Below are 18918 nucleotides of genomic sequence, written 5' to 3'. Positions count from 1 at the left end.
TGCCTTAGCGCTCACGTGTGTTGTGTACCAGCTCTGTGCCCCATGCTGAGAGCTGTTCCCATTTTAGACCGTCCCAAAGTAACACTGGGAGGTAGGGGTTTTCATCTCCATTTTGCAGCGGAGGAAACAGGCTCAGAGAGGGAAAGTGACTTGCCCAGGATCATACAGGGAGGTATCTTGAAGCCAGCTAGAATTTGAAGTGACAGAACAAGCAGAAGAGCCAGATGTTAAAAGGGCCTCTGGAAGCCCAGATGAGGGAGCAGGTTGTTGCGGTCTGGTGGGTGGTGTGGACAGGGGTAGCTAGGCAGCTGGCACTGATACGGGGGCTTTGAGCTTGGAGGCTTCCTGCCCGCAGCCGCCGCCTCCTTCTCCTCCTCCTCCTCCTCCTCCTCCTCCTCCTCCTCCTCCTCCTCCTCCTCCTCCTCCCTCCTCCCTCCTCCTCCTCCCTCCTCCTCCCTCCTCCTCCCTCCTCCTCCTCCTCCTCCTCCTTCCCCCTACCCTGGATCCCCTGCAGCGTCCCGGGCAGAGCCGGTGCGCGACATCCGCTGTGAGTTCTGCGGCGAGTTCTTCGAGAACCGCAAGGGCCTGTCGAGTCACGCGCGCTCACACCTGCGGCAGATGGGTGTGACCGAGTGGTCCGTCAATGGTTCGCCCATCGACACACTGCGAGAGATCCTCAAGAAGAAGTCCAAGCCGTGCCTCATCAAGAAGGAGCCACCGGCTGGAGACCTGGCCCCTGCCCTGGCTGAGGACGGGCCTCCCACCGTGGCCCCTGGGCCCGTGCAGTCCCCACTGCCGCTGTCGCCCCTGGCTGGCCGGCCAGGCAAACCAGGTGCAGGGCCGGCCCAGGTTCCTCGTGAGCTCAGCCTGACGCCCATCACTGGGGCCAAGCCCTCAGCCACTGGCTACCTGGGCTCAGTGGCAGCCAAGCGGCCCCTGCAGGAGGACCGCCTCCTCCCAGCAGAGGTCAAGGCCAAGACCTACATCCAGACTGAACTGCCCTTCAAGGCAAAGACCCTTCATGAGAAGACCTCCCACTCCTGTAAGCAGCGGGCGGCAGGGTCCTGGGAGGGCGACCGCCAGGGCCTGCCAGGCCAGGCAATGCCACAAGCGTGCACACTGACCCCAAGTGGGGCCCCCATGGCTGGGTCTGTGTGGGAGGCGGGATTGGCACCTGGCCTGGGCAGGGCCATCTGGGTGCACCTGCCCCCTTTGGGCTGTGACTCAGCAGCACCCCCTCCGCCCCGCAGCCACCGAGGCCTGCTGCGAGCTGTGTGGCCTTTACTTTGAAAACCGCAAGGCCCTGGCCAGCCACGCACGGGCACACCTGCGGCAGTTCGGCGTGACCGAGTGGTGCGTCAATGGCTCGCCCATCGAGACACTGAGCGAGTGGATCAAACACCGGCCCCAGAAGGTGGGCGCCTACCGCAGCTACATCCAGGGCGGCCGCCCCTTCACCAAGAAGTTCCGCAGTGCCGGCCATGGCCGTGACAGTGACAAGCGGCCGTCCCTGGGGCTGGCACCCGGGGGCCTGGCCGTGGTCGGCCGCAGTGCCGGAGGGGAGCCAGGGCCCGAGGCTGGCCGGGCAGCCGACGGTGGTGAGCGGCCTCTGGCAGCCAGCCCGCCAGGCACCGTGAAGGCTGAGGAGCACCAGCGGCAGAACATCAACAGTGAGTGCTTGGTGGAGGAGGGTCGGGAGCGCAGCGGGCACCTGTCAGGCCCACCCAGCCACTCCCCAGGCGCTCTGCTGTGGCCCTTAAGTCCTTTCTCCAGTTGCTTACCCATTCACCCATCCATCCCCCATCCCACCCATCCAGGTAGCATCAGTCCTCAGCTCTTGTGTATTCCAAGTCTCTGCAGCATCCACCCCTCCCACTCATCTCCCGTCCCCCTCTCCACCTTAGAATTTGAACGCCGACAAGCCCGCCCTCCAGATGCCTCCGCAGCCCGGGGAGGCGAGGACACCAATGACCTACAGCAGAAGCTGGAGGAGGTGCGGCAACCCCCACCCCGAGTCCGGCCAGTCCCCTCCCTGGTGCCCCGGCCCCCCCAGACATCACTTGTCAAGTTCGTGGGCAACATCTACACCCTCAAATGCAGGTAGGCTGCCCCTGGGGGAGGGAGGGAGACCACCTGAGTGGACCTTGGTCACCCGGAGCCTTGGAACAGGATAGGGTTTGGTGGAAGCTGGGAGGTGTCGCCTCAGTGGCTGCCCTTGGGTGTGGTGGGGCTCAGGCTAAAGGCTGACACCCTGAGCTTTGTAGCCTGCGAGACCTGGGTTCAAATCCCAACTCTGCCACTTACCAGCTTAGTGACCTCAGGGAAGGACTTACCTGCTCCTTACCTCAATTTCCTCACTCATAAAAGCGGGTTGATAACAAACCTACCTTACAGATTTGTTACGAGGAGTAAGTGAATTTAATATTTATAAAGCACTCAGAACTGCCTGGCACATGGTAAGTAAGCACTCAACTAGTGTCTGGCTCAAGAAAAAAGTAGATCTTAGTTAATTCTTACCAAAGTCCACAAGTACATTGAAGAGCAGCGAACTGGGACTCTGAGACGTGAGGTGACTTGCCTGAGGCCATACAGGCCAAGTCAGAAGTCAGAGTCAAAGCCACGTCTTGAGCCATGGAGCTTGGGCTCCAGGCCTCTGTGCTGTGAGGCCTTTTTAGGTGCCAGGAAGACAGGAGGAGGTGGGGGGCTTGGTGCGTTGGGTAGGATTTGCTTCTCTGTGCCCTCTACTGTCTCAGATTCTATGTATCTGCCAGATGGCAGGGGTACCTGGAAGCCAGTAGCCCTTACCTGGCACCAGTGACTTCTGAGCACAGAGGCAGGGGTCTCTGTGAGACCCTGCCATGACCCCATGGTGAGTGGAGGTGGCTGTCCATGGGAAACGCCTGACTTCTGGGTCCCTCTTCCCCCGCCTCCTGGGCTGGCTCTGTCCACACTGAGTAGCAGCAGGTGTGCCCAGGGATGCTGGCAAGGCTATGCTTCCGCCTCTCCTCACAGCACTGGCCACTCCCTCTCTCTGTTCCCCCATGCAGGTTCTGTGAGGTGGAATTCCAGGGCCCCCTCTCCATCCAGGAAGAGTGGGTGCGGCACTTACAGCGGCACATCCTGGAGATGAACTTCTCCAAAGCGGACCCCCCACCTGAGGAGTCCCAGGCCCCGCAGGCACAGACAGCGGCGGCAGAGGCTCCCTAACACAAAAGCATTCCAGATCCCCTCTCGTGCCACCTCTGTCTCCTCTTCTTCCTCCTCTGTGTCCTTGTCCCTCTTCCTCTTTCTTTCCGTTTCCAAAGGAGCAAGCCAAAACCTCAAACCGGCGCCCCTTGGGGGCCGGGCACACTACAGCCAGGGCGCCGGGAGCCAGCTAGCTGCCCTTCCCCCAGCCCGAGGACTCTGGGGCCACAGGGTGTCTTCCTTCAGCCCATGCCCACCTGGTCCAGCAGGGGCAGCAGCCAGGTCTCTGATGGCAGCCGGTCTGGTCACAGGGGAGGACAGCACTCCCCCGTCTAGCAGCCAGGCAGGGCGATGTCTGCCATCCGTGGCCATTTGCAAAGACCCCAAAGACCCCTGTTCTGGTTCCCTCTCTCCCCCATGAATATCCTCTCACACACATGTACATGCGAACACACACAACACGCACCTCGTGAGACCCGGGACCTGCCCCGGACCCCCAGTTCCTGGGTTGAACGACCACATCATGCCACGGTGCTTGCTCAGGGGAAGCCACGCTCCCTCTGTGGGGCCTGCTGGGGCCTGGGAGCCCCCCACTGAGCCCACAATGCCACGGAAATCCTTGTTGGCTGCCCCCGAGAGGGGCCTTCCCAGCTGGGAAGAGCTCAGAGCTGACAGCTGCCTCCTGCCATGTCAAGGCCCCCCAAAGAGCCTCAGGGGCTCTGGGGCCCTGGAGGGTGGGGTTGGGGGGTGGGACTCTCCTCCCCCACTCCTGCTCCCTCTCCCTTTTCACTGTTGCTTTCTATGTATAGCTCCCTAGACCTTTCACTTTTTTAAAAACGCGTTTTGTGTAGAGAATAAGGAACGTGGATCTTTTTATTTTGCAATCCTGGGCCAGCTAGAAGCCAGGAGCTGATTGACCTTTTAACTTTTTTCAGTGGCCACATTTTGGTTATCGATGTACCTAGAAGTATGTAAATTAGATTAAATTTCTCTTCTGGAAACACCCTGGGGCAGGCGGCCAGCGTGTGTTTTTCTGTCAAGTGGACAGGCTGGCATTGGCTGGCAGCCGGGGCTGGGATCGGGGCCTCCTCTGTCCAGAGCGCCATGGAGGCCCTGGGTTTTCCAGTTGGCCGCCAAGCCGACCAGACGCAGCTGGGGATGAGCCCAAGTTCCCAGCTGTTGGCTCTTTAGGCCATGGCTGGGAGGGGGTCTCTGGCTGGCTGGCAAAGCGGCTCCAGTGAGCAGATGAACCAGGGTTCTGGGCAGCCTGTCTGGGAAGGGAGCCAGGATCAAGAAGCAGTTGAGGCTAGAGGAGCTTATCAAAGGCAGGAGCTACCAGCGAGGGTGTCAGGGACCCGTTGGGAGCATTTGGGTGGGGGCCAGTGGGGTTGTAGAGAGCTGGAACTCACCTGCTTTTAATACATGTGACTTCTAGTGAGACACATGCACCCCTGACCCAAGGAACATGCGGGGAAAAGAGGAGCCACTGGCTCCTTTGCGATGTTATTTATTTTCTCGCTCTGCAAATGTTTATTGAACATTTCTGAGATTTTAAGAGATTTTGTTGGCTGCTCCTTCTTGTTTATTGCATGTGGTTTTTCAGCTCATCGTTTTTACTAAACGGTCAAGTGCTGGAGAGTGGGAACGACCTCATGGCGTGTGGACAGAAGGGGCCACCTCTACCCCCAGCCCTGCTTTCTGGGCCCTCCCACCATACCCCTTCCTGGGAAGGAGGGATTAACAGGCTGCAATAACGCCCACAAGGGTGGTCTTGGCCCACACGTCTGCTCCTGTGGGGTCAGGACGCACATCTCGCCTGGTGGCAGAAGGCCGCAACCACTTCTCTCCATCCTGTGCTGTGGGTGGGTGGATGTATCCAGGACTTAGGAAGCAGGGAGAGCATCTTGTGAGCTGACTCAAAGGTGTTTCTTCCTCTTTCAACTTTTCATAAGTCAGTTTTTATTTTTTTATTTTATTTTTTGAGACAGGGTCTCATTTTGTTGCCCAAGCTGGAGTGCAGTGTAGGGACCTCGGCTCGCTGCAGTCTCTGCCTCCTGGGTTCAAGTGATTCTCCTGCCTCAGCCATCCAGGTAGCTGGGATCACAGGCATGCACCACCACCCCTGGCTTATATCTGTAATTTTTGTAGAGACGGGGGTTTCACCATGTTGCCCGGGCTGGTCTTGAACTCCTGAGCTCAAGTGATCAGCCTCCCAAAGTGCTGGGATTACAGGCGTGAGCCACTATGCCCGGCCCGTAAGTCAGTTTTTGAAATATAAAAGTGGTATAGGCTAGATGTGACAAAAAACAGTCAAATGATACAAGAGCTTATAAAGTCATATGGCAAGTTCCTCCCCACCAATCATGCAGTGAAGTGAGGGTCATGTGTGTCCTTGGAAGAGTCACCTCCAGTTCTTGCAGGGGGATGTTTTCCTAAAACTTTCTGAGCATTGCTCTTCTCTGCTCAAGCCACTTCAATACACCTCAGGCAGCAAAGTCTCAGCTTTTGAGCCGTGGTCTCTGAGGGTGTTGGATGTGAACGAAATCAAATCGGTACAATGATGACTGTGGCAAGTGCGATGAAGGAACGAACCTGCAGGGCGCAGAAGACGTGTCCTGGGGCCCTGCCTTGGTTTGGAAGACAGGCAGGCATCCCTGAGGCTGATGGGGAGATGAACCCCGAAGCCAGAGTGCTTATCCGTCAGATCTCTGCTTCATGTTTGGAGTTTGCTCACTTAACACATCAGAAGTGGCTTTGTTCCGTATGGCAGCAAGTTCTGCAGAAGCCTCATTTGGGTGGGGGGAGTTTTATTAAAACAGTTTATCATGGAGAATTCCAACTATACAAAAGTAGAGCAAACAGTAAAATGGACTCTCATCTATCCATCACCAACCCATGACCAATGTCTTCAGCTGTCAGAGATTTATCTTATAGCTCCTTGCTTCCTCCTCCTCTCTCTACCTGTCTGAATTGTGTGAAGCACATCCTGGCCATAAGATCAGTTAACTTCTTAGTATTTCAGTATGTTTCTCTCAACGTTGTAAATGCCACTATTACACCTAAAGAAATCAACAATATCAAAAAGAAACAGCATACCTTAAAAAAAGTTTTAAAACACACGAAGCGTAGAAGTCGTAATTGCGCAGCTTAATGAGTTTTCACAAACACACGTGTTAAGTACTCTTCGGTGCAGCTCTGTCATCTCTAGAAATTATGAGTTGTCCCTGGCAGGGTTTCCATATGCCCAGGAAACAGACTGAGGACATGACTGGTGCCCGGCTGCACTATTGCAGGATCTCTCGAGCCCAGAGTGAATCAGGAGGGTTTTAGAAGCAAAGCTCCCATTTTAACACGTAACTGTCAAGGACCTTGAGCAAATCATGAGTTCCAAGCTTCAGTTTTAAGTGAGGATTAAAAGCTTTTTGCAGGTTTGAAGGAGCATTCGAATGACACACAATACAAACGGAATTATTACACATATAAGCATATGCCATATAAATATATTATCGTTTTGTTACGATTAATCACATTTATTCAGTGCACTGGCACCAGAATGATTTCTTTACACACACTTTGTCACGTAATGTTGAAACGTGTGTCCAGCATCTTGTTTGGTGCTGTTTTAATTTTCTCTTCTCAACATGGCTTTGCTATGCTTGTTTTGGAGCCGAAGGCCAGAGAATTTGAGAGACTTAGCTAGGTCCCCTACCCAGCACCTCGGTGGCGGAGTTGGCATCCCAGCCCTGCCCTGAGCCGTAGACCCGACTCCCTCTGGCGGGTCTCCAGGGTACGGGCGCTCCTCCAGCCCGACCATGCTTGGGCCTTGGGCCTTTCCGTAGTGCACAGCTCCGCCCCCTCAAATTCTATAGGACTCCGCCTCTCTGCCGGCTTCTGTAGGCCAATCACTGAGGCCTTAGAATAACAGAAGGCGGGGACAAGGCGGGGCTCTCACGAGATTGCCAGCAGCTTCCAGCCACTGATATGAGGAGGCATAGAGATAGACAGCGGTTCCTTCCAATAGACGTGAAGCCGAGGCCGGTATGAGCCAATGCGGTCGGGAGGCGGGGCTCGGGTGTGTGTGGAGGGGACCCTGTGGTTAGCAGCAGCTATCGCAGCGTCGGATGTTCAGAGCAGCAGAAGCCGGCGTCGTCGGATGTTGTGTTGCCCGCCACCATGAGCTACACAGGTGGGCCTGGCAGGGTGGGGTCGGGCTCTGCGTGGGGGATGGGACAGGGACGTGCGGATGCCGCACCAGGCTTGCCCGCACCTCCCCTGGGGCCCCGTCACTGCCTTCCCTGCGGTCACAAAATGGCGCCGCTGGCCCGTCGCCTCAGGGTCGCTGCCCTCACGCCTCGTTGCCTCAGCTCTCTGTGTCTGCAGCCGGCGTCCCGGCTCCCGGCCGCCTGATGTCTTGGCTTCTGTCGCCTGTGTCCGTGGGTCCGGGCCTCAGCGCACGAGGTCTCCGCCCCCACCACCTCCGTCCCTGGCCTGCGCTCCTGGACCTCGACGCCTTAGGTTTCCCTTTCTCAGGCCTTGGTCCTTGCGAGCAGGCAGCAGGCTCGGCTGCCGTCGCCATTGTCGCGTCCTCCCCCGCGCAGTTTCTCTGCAAAAACGCCGCAGCTCTACACCCCCATCCCGATCCCACCCACCACCCCCTTTTGTCTATTTCAGAACTGGGAAAGGCGCCAGGCCCTAGGGGGATAAGTAAATATTGGAAGGGTTTGGGCTGAGCGGGGAGCCTTGGGCCCCTAGGGGCTGAACTGCAAGGAATGACAAGGTTCCATGTTAATTCCCTCTGCGTCTGTCAAATGAACCGTGTCCGGTACAGACTGGGTATTGGGAATACAGACAAGAATTCCTCAAGCAGCTTAGAGGCGAGGATCTTAATAGGCAAATAAGCGAGTGTAGGATATATTTTAGGGTGGTCAGTACCGTGCGGGGGTCGCTCCACTACGTGGAGTGGTTGGAGCCTTCTGTAAAGAGGTGACATTTGAGCAGAGACCTAAATGGAGGGAGCGAATAAAGATATCTGGCCCAGGGAGCTTTTGCTGTAAAAGGCTTACGGGCAGGAACTGCCTGGCTTGTTAGAAGATCAGCCAGGGAGGCCAGTGGGAGGCCAATGGGATTTGAAAGGGAGAGTGGGTGACAGATCCGAGAGCCCCTCTCCGCCCCCCGCAATATGCTTGGGCGACTGTAAATCATCACTGGGTGAATTGCCAAGGCCTCCTGGGTTTGCCTTGGCAGTGACTGATGAGGCTTCTCGGCCAGGAGACTTACACTAGGCCTCCCTGTTTGGTGAGGGTATTATAGGCTTGAGCGTGTGTGGTTGCCAGGTAACCTGCATTCTACTTGGAATTTTGAGAACTGAGAATGCAACGTGAGTCTGTGGGGCTCCTTTGTAGACCACTTTATGTTGGCATAGGCAAGAAGGTAGTGCCAGTCCCCTCTACCCTGGCTGCCAGGTCAGGAGCTTTCCAAGAACCCCAGTTTTTCTAGCAACCATCCCCCAGCCCAGTGGGTTCTCATCCAGGGGTGATTCTGCCCCAGATGACATCTGGCAATGTCTGGAGACATTTTTGGTTGTCACATATGGGAGTGGGAGTGCTGCTGGTATCTAGTGGATGGAGGTTTGGGATGCTGCCCTGCTACGGTATACACAATGACACCTACCGCAAAGAAGTATCTGGCGTCAAACATCAGTAGTGCCCAAGTTGGGCAGCTCTGCCAGAGCCTTTCTGTAGCTTTCCTAGTTCAGGAGGAAAGACTATGGGGTTGTTACTGACATCCCTGGGATTGGAATATAATTCTCACCAAGTCTTACCAAGAACTGGAAGACAGTTTCATGGTTTTTAAAAACAGGACTCTTGAAGAAACCAGAAGATGAATGGTTGGGTGCTGTGGGGTAGCTGAGTAATGGAGCTCTTTTTTTTAATAGATGAGGAAACTGAGATACAAGGTCACTAATGACCAAACCTGAATTCCAGCTCTAGGTCTTGTAGGCTGTAGTTCTGGGTTTGGGTGGGCACTGAGATAGCCAAGCTAAAAAAGTAATGATTAGTTTTTCCTTTATCTTGATAAACTGAAAACCACAGTAATTTACAATGTGAGTCTTCCCCTTATTTAAGAAGTAGGGCACTAAAGTCAAAGGCATTTTAATTCACATTTCAGACAACTAATAGCTTTAAGGGTAAGTCCTAGAGGCCTCGAAGCAAATGTTAGCATTATTAAACATAAAAGGTGACTGATAAATCTTTTTATTAACTCGCCCTGCTTTTGAACCCTGTTACCTTATTTATACGTGGGAAAGGAAGCTGCATCTCTAGCACTGAGAGGGGAAGAGGAGAGCAGTGGTAAACAGCACAGAAATATCCAGAATCAGGCCCTCAAACAAAGGTCTGAAATGCTACTGTACTTGTCATAGAAACATTTATTGTCTCACACAGTTTCTTTATGTTTGGAATGGATAGGTGATTTCACTGGGTGGTTCTAGCTTGGAATATCATGAGGTTACATTTAGGATCTCTATGTGGACTAGAGTCATCTGAAAGCCTGACTGAGGCTGGAGGTCCCACCTCCAAGGTGACTTAAACTCCCATGCCTGGCAGGCTGATGCTGGCCAATAATTCTTGGCCCCATGGATCTCTCCCTAGGGCTGGCTGCTGGAGTATCCTCACAACATGGTGGCTGGTTTTCTCCAGACTGAATGATCCCAGAAAGAGCAAGGCGAAAATCCCAGAAGTCACACTCAGTCATTTTCATAAATCTTATTGGTTGCACTGGCTAGCTCTATTAGTTGGGAGGGATCTACATAACGTTAAGAGGCAGGAATGGAGACCATCTTTGAGGATGGTTGTCACCCTACTCTTGGCTCAGATAATAAAGATTGAAGGCAACCTAACCTAATTCCAGTTATCTTTTAATTTTTGGTACTCTGTGTTACTCCTTCAAATAAGACTCTTTTTTTTTTTTAGATCAGGCACGGTGGCTCACACTTGTAATCACAACACTTTGGGAGGCCGAGGCAGGAAGATTGCTTGAGGCCAGGAGTTTGAGATGAGCCTGGGCAACATAGCAAGACCCTTTCTCTATAAAAATTAAAAATAAAAAAGTTAGCTCTGCGAGGTTGAGGCTGCAGTGAGCCATGATTGTGCCACTGTGCTCCAGCCTGGATGACAGCGAGACTCTGGGATTTTTTTTTTGTTTTTTTTTTTGAGACGGAGTCTTGCTCTGTCACCCAGGCTGGAGTGCAGTGGCGCCATCTCGGCCCACTGCAAGCTCCGCCTCCCAGGTTCATGCCATTCTCCTGCCTCCGCCTCCCAAGTAGCTGGGACTACAGGTGCCCGCCACCACACCCGGCTAATTTTTTGTATTTTTAGTAGAGACGGGGTTTCACCTTGTTAGCCAGGATGGTCTTGATCTCCTGACCTTGTGATCCGCCCTCCCTGGCCTCCCAAGGTGCTGGGATTACGGGCATGAGCCACTGCGCCCGGCTGACTGGGAGGTTTGCTGGAGCCCAGGAGTTCAACATTGCTGAGCTATGATCATGCCATTGCACTCCAGCCTGGGCAACAGAGCAAGATCCTGTCTCAAGAAAATATATACTCTTTTTTAAAAAGGAGAAAGGAAAAGTATAAAACTGAGAAGCATTTGTTTTGTTTTGTTGAGACAGGGTCTCACTATGTTGCCCAGGTTGGAGTGCAGTGGCACAAAATCATAGCTCACTGCAGCCTCGCCCTCCTGTGCTCAAGTAATCCTCCCACCTCACCTCAGCCTCCCAAGTAGCTGTGACTACATGTGCATGCCACCATGCCTGGCTAATTTTTTATTTCTGAGATGAGGTCTCACTATGTTGCCACGCAGGTCTTGAACTCCTGGGCTCAAGTGATCCTCCCAACTCAGCCTCCCAAAGTACTGGTATTACAGACATGAGCCACAGCATTTGGCCTGCTTTTGTATTTTTGAGCAAAAAAAGTTGACGAGAGATTGGTTAAAAGCAAGGAGTGTTGCTGCAGAACTAGAAATCCATGGTCTCAAAGTGAGAGGATTGCTTAAGCCCAGGAATTCAACACCAGCATGGGTAACATAGTGAGACCCTGTCTCTCAAAACAAAAAAAGAAAAAGAAAACAAAAATTAGCTGGGCCTGGTGGTGCGTGGCTATAGTCCCAGCTATACAGGAGACTGAAGTAGGAGGATCACTTGAGCCCCGGAGGCTGAGGCCACAGTGAGCAGTGATTGTGCCACTGCACTCCAGCCTGGATGACAGTGAGACCCCCTGTCTCTAATAAAAATAGAAAGAAAGAAATCCGTGGGCTAGGCGTGGTGGCTCACGCCTGTAATCCCAGCACTTTGGGAGGCCGAGGTGGGCGGATCACGAGGTCAGGAGATCGAGACCATCCTCGCTAACACAGCGAAACCCCATCTCTGTGAAAAATACAAAAAATTAGCCAGGCGTGGTGGCAGGTGCCTGTAGTCCCAGCTACTCAGGAGGCTGAGGCAGGAGAATGGCGTGACCCCAGGAGGCGGAGCTTGCAGTGAGCCAAGATCGTGCCACTGCACTCCAGCCTGGGCGACAGAGCGAGACTCCGTCTCAAAAACAAACAAACAAAAAAAAAAAGAAATCTGTGATCTAACATTTAGCTTTATAGGGCCATATAGGGCATATTTTATTTTTTTCAACCAGCGCTAATCAGGCTGATAAATTGTACCAAGAGAACACTTTACAAACCAGCTAAGAATTTAGGCCGGGCGTGGTGGCTCACGCCTGTAATCCCAGCACTTTGGGAGACCGAGGCGGGCAGATCTTCTGAGGTCGGGAGTTTGATACCAGCCTGACCAACATGGAGAAAACCCGTCTCTACTAAAAATACAAAATGCGTAGTGGCGCATGCCTGTAATCCCAGCTACTCGGGAGGCTGAGGCAGGAGAATCGCTTGAGCCTGGGAAGTGGAGGTTGCGGTGAACCGAGATCGCACCATTGCACTCCAGCCTGGGCAACAAGAGTGAAACTCCGTCTCAAAAAAAAAAAAAAAAAAAAAAGAATTATTCATAATAGGAGCCAAAACTGGCTACAGAAGGGCCTGCTCTGCGATCTTTGCAGATGGTATTGTGGAACAGAATGTTAATGTGGTGCAGGGTATAGAGTTAGAGCAGAGATTGCCATTGATCTTGGAGGGTTTGATGGATCGTCTTTCCTTCCTAGGGAAGCACCAGGGCCCCTCTCGCCTGAACAGACACAGATATTTTGCTCAGCAGCTTGCTGACTGTATCTTGTGAGGGTGTGGTAGGCTGTCATTTGCAGTTGCAGTACTCACAGATCACATTACCTAAAGTCTGAGGCCATTTTACTGGTGGCCCAATTGCTGAAAGAACAAGTTTCCAGAGGCCAGTTGAGCAAACAGTGGAGACCGCAGGGGCTGGGTATTCCTTACATTATAAGGCTTTCCCCTGGGTGAACTCTTCAAAGCTGCTCTCAGTGTTTCTTATGGACAGCTATTAATCAACAATGCCTGGATTTTAGGCATCTCAGGAAGGTCCAGATCCCTGGAAGGAATCCATTTGAATGGATTTCTAGCCTCTTTACTTAGGGAAGGTAGAAGACTGGATCTGTATACCCTCGGTTTTATCCTGCCTCAAGTCCCAGTCCCTACTCTGGAAAGTGAAGATGAAGCTGGGTTCACAGCTCCGTCTTTGGAACCCTTGGAGCTAGATGTATTTTGGAATTCTAGCTTAAGAGAAGTCACGTGGGGTCTGGGGAAGCACCTTGTATTTAAATAGATTAATTCTGCACTAAGTAGGACAAAGAAAGATTATAAATGTCCTTACAGGTGAAAACAGCTCCAGCGTGAGTTTTGGCACCACACTGGTAGAAAACACTTGGTGTTCAGACCCTTTTGGACCTGGGGGAATTGCAGAGTAAGGAATCTTGCCCACCTGCCCTTATTGTCTGTGGTGAGGATGAAATGAGATCATTGCAGATAAATGTTCTTAGCACCCTGCAGGGAAAGCACTTGTTTGCTGTTGGCTGCTGCTGCTGTGGTCTTAAGAGATAAAATAGAGACACTGTCAACAAATAAGAGAACGCTTACCCAGGGGGAAGGCACTTCTGTAGGTTTTTGATGTAAACAAGCTGTTAAAGGCATAGGCTTTAATTTTCAGGTCATGAGTTGGCTCTGATGGGAAAGGCAAATACTGCCTCTTATGGTATCTGTCGTAATTTCAGTGCTGAGAGAAAATTATTCAAAAATATGTATTTCTGGCCGGGCGCAGTGGCTCACGCCTGTAATCCCAGCACTTTGGGAGGCCAAGGCGGGCGGATCACAAGGTTAGGAGATCGAGACCATCCTGGCTAACATGGTGAAACCCCATCTCTACTAAAAATACAAAAAAATCAGCCGGACATGGTGGCACGCGCCTGTAGTCCCAGCTACTCAGAAGGCTGAGGCAGGAGAATCGCTTGAACCCGGGAGGTGGAGGTTGCAGTGAGCCGAGATCGTGCCACTGCACTCCAACCTAGTGCGAGACTCCGTCTCAAAAAAATATATATGTATTTCTAACTGTAGAGTTGTTGTTTTTTCTTTTTTTAATGTAGTTTTAAAGCAAGTGTCAGGATTAGCATCAGTCATAGTCTGTAGGAGCACTGGTTTCTGATAGAGGTAGAAGTTTTCCTTACTTGGCACTAACTCATTTTATTTTATTTCATTTATTTATTTATTTTGAGATGGAGTCTTGCTCTATTACCCAGGCTTGAGTGCAGTGGCACGATCTCCACTCACTGCAATCTCCGCCTCCTGGGTTTAAGCAGTTCTTCTGCCTCACCCTCCCAAGAACCTGGGATTACAGGCAGGTGCCACCACACCCAGCTAATTTTGGGGTTTTGTTTGTTTGTTTTGAGACGGAGTCTTGCTCTGTCGCCTAGGCTGGAATGCAGTGGCATGATTTTGGCTCACTGCAACCTCTGCCTCCTGGGTTCAAGCGATTCTCCTGCCTCAGCCTCCTGCGCAGCTGGGACTACAGGCACACACCACCACGCCCAGCTAATTTTTGTATTTTTAGTAGAGACAGGGTTTCACCATATTGGCCAGGCTGATCTCGAACTCCTAACCTCGTGATCCACCTGCCTCGGCCGCCCAAAGTGCTGGGATTACAGGCGTGAGCCACTGTGCCCTGTAATTTTTGTATTTTTAGTAGCTAATTTTTGTATTTTTAGTAGAGATGGGGTTTCACCATGTTGGCCAGGCTGGTCTTGAACTCCTGGCCTCAACCAGTCCACCCCCCCTTGGCCTCCCAAAGTACTGTGAGTACAGGCATGAGCCACTGCATCCAGCCCTAATTCATTTTATGTTGAGAAATAGTTTGAAAGTTGAGAAGATAGGAAATTTTATGTATATATAATAATACTTATTTCCATATGACCATGCCACCCCAAATAATTACTTTTAAGAAATAATTGTTTTTTGTTTTTGTTTTTGTTTTGAGACAGGGTCTTGCTCTGTCACCCAGGCTGGAATGCAGTGGCGCAATCATAGCTCACTGCAGCCTTGACCTTCTGGGCTCAAGTGACACTCCCACCTCAGCCTCCCAAGTAGCTAGGACTACAGGCACATGCTGCCACAGCTGGCTTTTTTTTTTTTTTGTAGAGACAGGGTTTCACCCTGTTGCCCAGGCTGGTCATCTTGGCCTCCCAAAGTGTTGGGATTACAGGCATGAGCCACTGCCCGGCCCAGAAATAATTGTTATAATTGTTATACACACTTTTTAATGGGAAAACCAAAATAAAAAGCAGTTTCTGTTTCAGATTTAGAACAGGGAGGGGGGTATTATTTGCTTTAACATGGTTTTGAAGCTAACCTCCATCCTTGTTTGAATTCCAAGTGGCTCACCCTTCAGGGATTTGAATAGTTTCCTCATTTAACAGAATGATAACTTGGGTGTTCATTTCTCAAAATAGGCTACTGGCTTAAATGTTTAAAAATTTTTATTTGGGGCCAGGCTCTGTGGCTCACACCTGTAATCCCAGCACTTTGGGAGGTTCAGGAGGGTGGATTGCTTAAGCCTAGGAATTAAAGACCAGCCAGGGCAACATGATGAAACCCCATCTCTACAAAAAAGTATAAAAATTAGCTGCGAATGATGGCACGAACGTATAGTCTCAGCTACTTGGGAGGCTGAGGCAGGAGGATTGTTTGAGCCTGGAAGGTCGAGGTTGCAGTGAGCCGTGATCATGCCACTGCGTTGCAGCCCGGACAGAGTGAGACCTTGTTTTTAAAAAGTAAATAAATAATTTTTTAATCTAGTCCTCCTGGTATAGCAAGTTAAACATAGCCTGCCTTTCCATTGGGTAATATTTTCTGACGGTCTAATTAAACTGTGGAATCTAGAGGTTTTGGTGGCTTTTCGTTGAGAGAAGGGCCTGCTGGCAATCCTATACCAAAGGTTAGGTAGTCTCAGGTCATTTCCCTGTGACTTGCTTGTGGAAATTAACCCCACTGTCTTTATGTTTAGGCTTTGTCCAGGGATCTGAAACCACTTTGCAGTCGACATACTCGGATACCAGCGCTCAGCCCACCTGTGATTATGGTAAGTGTGGACTTCTGGTGGGAACCAAAGTGTTCTGCAGAGCAGTTCCTTGTCTTCTTAGTTGCCTTTGGCTTTGCTGTCACCCTGTCATGCTTTTTTAAACCTAAACTTGTGTGAAATGGTGTGGCCATTTGAATAGCTAGTGCTTCCCTTTCAGGCAATTATGGGAAAAGTAGCTGTGTTCCTGAGCAAGTTAGGCTCTTTGATAAAAGGCCTGGCTTCAAATCCCCATGGGGGAGGGACTGGGAGTCACAGTGGCCAATTAAAGTCCAAAGGAGGCCAGGCGCGGTGGCTCCTGCCTGTAATCCCAGCACTTTGGGAGGCCGAGGCGGGTGGATCACTTGAGGTCAGGAGATCGAGACCATCCTGGCCAACATGGTGAAATGCCATCTATACTAAAATACAAAAAATTAGCCGGGCATGGTGGTGTGTGCCTGTGGTCGCAGCTACTCAGGAGGCTGAGGCAGGGGAATCACTTGAACCCGGGAGGCAGAGGTTACAGTGAGCCGATATCATGCCACTGCACTCCAGCCTGGCAACAGAGCAAGACTCTGTCTCAAAAAAAAAAAAGTCCAAAGGATTGGTCCAGGAGAAAGCAAGCTATTAACTTAGTCCCAGCATAGTGCATGTCCTTGCTGTGGGAGAGAGGCTGAGTGTGTGAATCTGGCAGCTTTTGGAGACTCAGCCAGGCCACCTCAAGCCAGCAGGCTCCACACACACAGAGTTGAGTGAAGATCTCTGATTGAGTTTTCCAGCGTGGACAGAAACACCTAATTAGCTAATTCAGAAGTAGCCACCAGTAGGATTCACAGATGCTGTTTTGTTTGTGTGCTGTGGCAGCCCGGACTGCTGTTAAAGCTGGTTTTTGGTTGTCTGTGACTCTAGGGGTATCTGTTGAGAAGGAGCCCTCTTTGGAATTAACAGGGATAATGTCTTAGTTACTGAGATGGGTAATTTCTTTTACTACCAAGATCTGGGGAAAGACTGATCCTACACAGCTAACATGCCTTCAGGGGTCACTGCATAAAGAGACTTAAGTAAGCTCCCCAAGTAACAGCAGCTAGTCCCAGGAAAAGGGAAGACTTAAAATATTTTGAAATTGAGTGAGAAGGTATCAGGTGTCTCATAAATGAGGAGAAACTTGGTTTGCTTGACTTCCCTGTGCTGCCCTCCCTGCCTCTCCCTTTTCATCAAATGTAGTCCCTAATTGCACATCCTTTTGAATTATTTTCCCTCTGGATTGCATATTCTGAGTACAAGCCATTTCTCGGATATGCCATTTACAAATATTTTCTCCCAGACTGTGGCTTGTCTATTCTCTTGTCAGTGTGTCTTGTCTTGTGTCAGAAAGAACACAAGTTGTTAATTTTGAAGCCCAATTCAATCTTTTCTTTAATAGATGATGGTTTTGCTTTTATATCTAAGAAATCTGTAATATTTTCTTTAGAATTTTCTTTTAGGTGTTTTAGTTGTGGGTTTTACATTTAGTCTGTGATCCATATTGAGTTAATTTTTCTACAAGGTGTGCAGTATAGGTTAAGGTTTCTTATTCTTCTATGGCATATAAATATATAATTGTTCCAGCACCATTTGTTTAAAAAACAAAAACAAAAACAAAACCATTTTTTCTTTCTTTTTTTTTTTTTTTGAGACAGAGTCTCACTCTGTCCCCCAGGCTGGAGTGCAGTGGCGCGATCTCAGCTCACTGCAAGCTCCGCCTCCTGGGTTCATGCCATTCTCCCGCTTCAGCCTCCCGAGCAGTTGCCCGCCACCACGCCTGGCTAATCTTTTTGTATTTTCAGTAGAGACGGGGTTTCACCGTATTTGCCAGGATGTTCTCGAGCTCCTGACCTCGTGATCCTCCCGCCTCGGCCTCCCAAAGTGTTGGGATTACAGGCGTGAGCCACCGCGCCCGGCCTCTTTCTTTCTTTCTTTCTTTCTTTTTTTTTTTTTTTTGAGATGGAGTTTCGCTCTTGTTGCCCAGGCTGGAGTGCAATGGCGCGATCTCAGCTCACCACAACCTCCACCTCCCAGATTCAAGCTATTCTTGTGCCTTGGCCTCCCAAATAGCTGGTATTACAGGCATGTGCCACCACGCCTGGCTAATTTTTGTATTATTAGTAGAGACGGTTTCACCACATTGGCCAGGCTGGTCTTGAATTCCCCATCTCAGGTGATCCACCCGCCTTGGCCTCCCAAAGTGCTAGGATTACAGGTGTGAGCCACTGTGCCAGGCCTATATTTTCTCTATTGAATTGCCTTCGTACCTTTACTGAAAATCAGTTGACCATATACTGTGGGTCTATTTCTGGACTCTTGGACTCTCATTCTGTTCCATTGGTCTGTACATCTAAATTTCGTTCAGCAGCACGGTCTTTTTGTATTTTTAGTAGAGACTGGTTTCACCATGTTGGCCAGGCTGGTCTCAAACTCCCGACCTCACATGATCCACCTGCCTCGGCCTCCCAAAGTGTTGGAATTACAGGCATTAGCCACTGCGCCTCGCCCAGCAATGCAGTCTTGATTACTGGTTAATAGTAATCTTGAAATATGAGTCCTCCAGGTTTGTTCTTTTTTCCAAAATTGTTAGTTTCTTTGCTTTTGCATATAAATTTTAGAATCAGTTTATGAAGTTTTTTAAAAAATTCATGCTGAGATTTTGAGTGAGAGAGCCTTGGATCTATAGATCTATCAAATCTGTAGAATCTATAGATTAGTTTGAGAAAATTGACATCTTAACAATATCAAGTCTTCTGATTCATGAGTGCAGTATGTCACTTCACTGATGTAGTGTTTTGTAGTTTTCAACACAGATCCTACACATACTTTGTTAGATTTACGCCAAGTTTTTCATGCTTTTAGTGCTATAGGAAATGGTACTTTTAAAAACTTTCCATTCATTGCTGATATATAGAAATTTGATTGCTATTTGATTTGTAGGTTTACCTTGTAATATTTGAAATTTGACTTACAGATTGACCTTGTAATAAACCTTGCTAAGCTCACTTATTCTAGTAGCTCTTTTGTAGATTTGTTTGAGATTTTTTTACATACACAATTGTGAAAGAATAGAGATGGATTTATTTTTCCTTCTGGCTTGAATTGCAAGAACAATATAACATTTAAATAACATTTTGAAAAACAGTCAACCAAGA

The 18918-nt window shown here is 50.3% G+C and overlaps 2 protein-coding genes across 21 annotated transcripts in view, besides 3 other annotated features; both read left to right on the top strand.

Moving 5' to 3' along the window:
• The window catches only part of WIZ (WIZ zinc finger), a 29979-nt gene extending 23674 nt beyond the window's left edge, over window positions 1-6305 (top strand). For all 18 annotated transcript variants that reach the window (NM_021241.3, NM_001439249.1, XM_047439178.1 and 15 more), the window contains 4 exons: window positions 515-1042; window positions 1251-1670; window positions 1905-2100; window positions 3048-6305. In NM_021241.3, the coding sequence (NP_067064.2) occupies window positions 515-1042; window positions 1251-1670; window positions 1905-2100; window positions 3048-3207 (1304 nt within the window). In that variant the 3' untranslated portion in view covers window positions 3208-6305. The remainder of the gene's footprint in view (window positions 1-514; window positions 1043-1250; window positions 1671-1904; window positions 2101-3047) is intronic.
• A 989-nt stretch (window positions 6306-7294) lies between these two features.
• AKAP8L (A-kinase anchoring protein 8 like) overlaps window positions 7295-18918 on the top strand; it is a 38939-nt gene continuing 27315 nt past the window's right edge. For all 3 annotated transcript variants that reach the window (NR_111971.2, NM_001291478.2, NM_014371.4), the window contains exons 1-2: window positions 7295-7372; window positions 15689-15763. Coding sequence is in view for 2 of the 3 variants with exons in the window: in NM_001291478.2 (NP_001278407.1) it covers window positions 7360-7372; window positions 15689-15763 (88 nt within the window). In the remaining variant the exon portion in view is untranslated. The remainder of the gene's footprint in view (window positions 7373-15688; window positions 15764-18918) is intronic.
• Window positions 11244-11743: an enhancer, noted in NCBI's record as "H3K4me1 hESC enhancer chr19:15525351-15525850 (GRCh37/hg19 assembly coordinates)". NCBI's record gives its function as "activates a minimal SCP1, AML or CMV promoter by ChIP-STARR-seq in naive H9 embryonic stem cells {active_cell/tissue: H9 hESC(naive)}" and the evidence as "EXISTENCE:reporter gene assay evidence [ECO:0000049][PMID:30033119]".
• Window positions 11744-12245: an enhancer, noted in NCBI's record as "H3K4me1 hESC enhancer chr19:15524849-15525350 (GRCh37/hg19 assembly coordinates)". NCBI's record gives its function as "activates a minimal SCP1, AML or CMV promoter by ChIP-STARR-seq in naive H9 embryonic stem cells {active_cell/tissue: H9 hESC(naive)}" and the evidence as "EXISTENCE:reporter gene assay evidence [ECO:0000049][PMID:30033119]".
• Window positions 12958-13487: an enhancer, noted in NCBI's record as "NANOG hESC enhancer chr19:15523607-15524136 (GRCh37/hg19 assembly coordinates)". NCBI's record gives its function as "activates a minimal SCP1, AML or CMV promoter by ChIP-STARR-seq in primed H9 embryonic stem cells {active_cell/tissue: H9 hESC(primed)}" and the evidence as "EXISTENCE:reporter gene assay evidence [ECO:0000049][PMID:30033119]".

This window comes from Homo sapiens, chromosome 19 (assembly GCF_000001405.40).
Source record: "Homo sapiens chromosome 19, GRCh38.p14 Primary Assembly".
Taxonomy (NCBI): Eukaryota; Metazoa; Chordata; class Mammalia; order Primates; family Hominidae; genus Homo; species Homo sapiens.
Note: the sequence above shows the minus strand (reverse complement) of the source record. Positions and strands in the feature narration are given on the sequence as shown.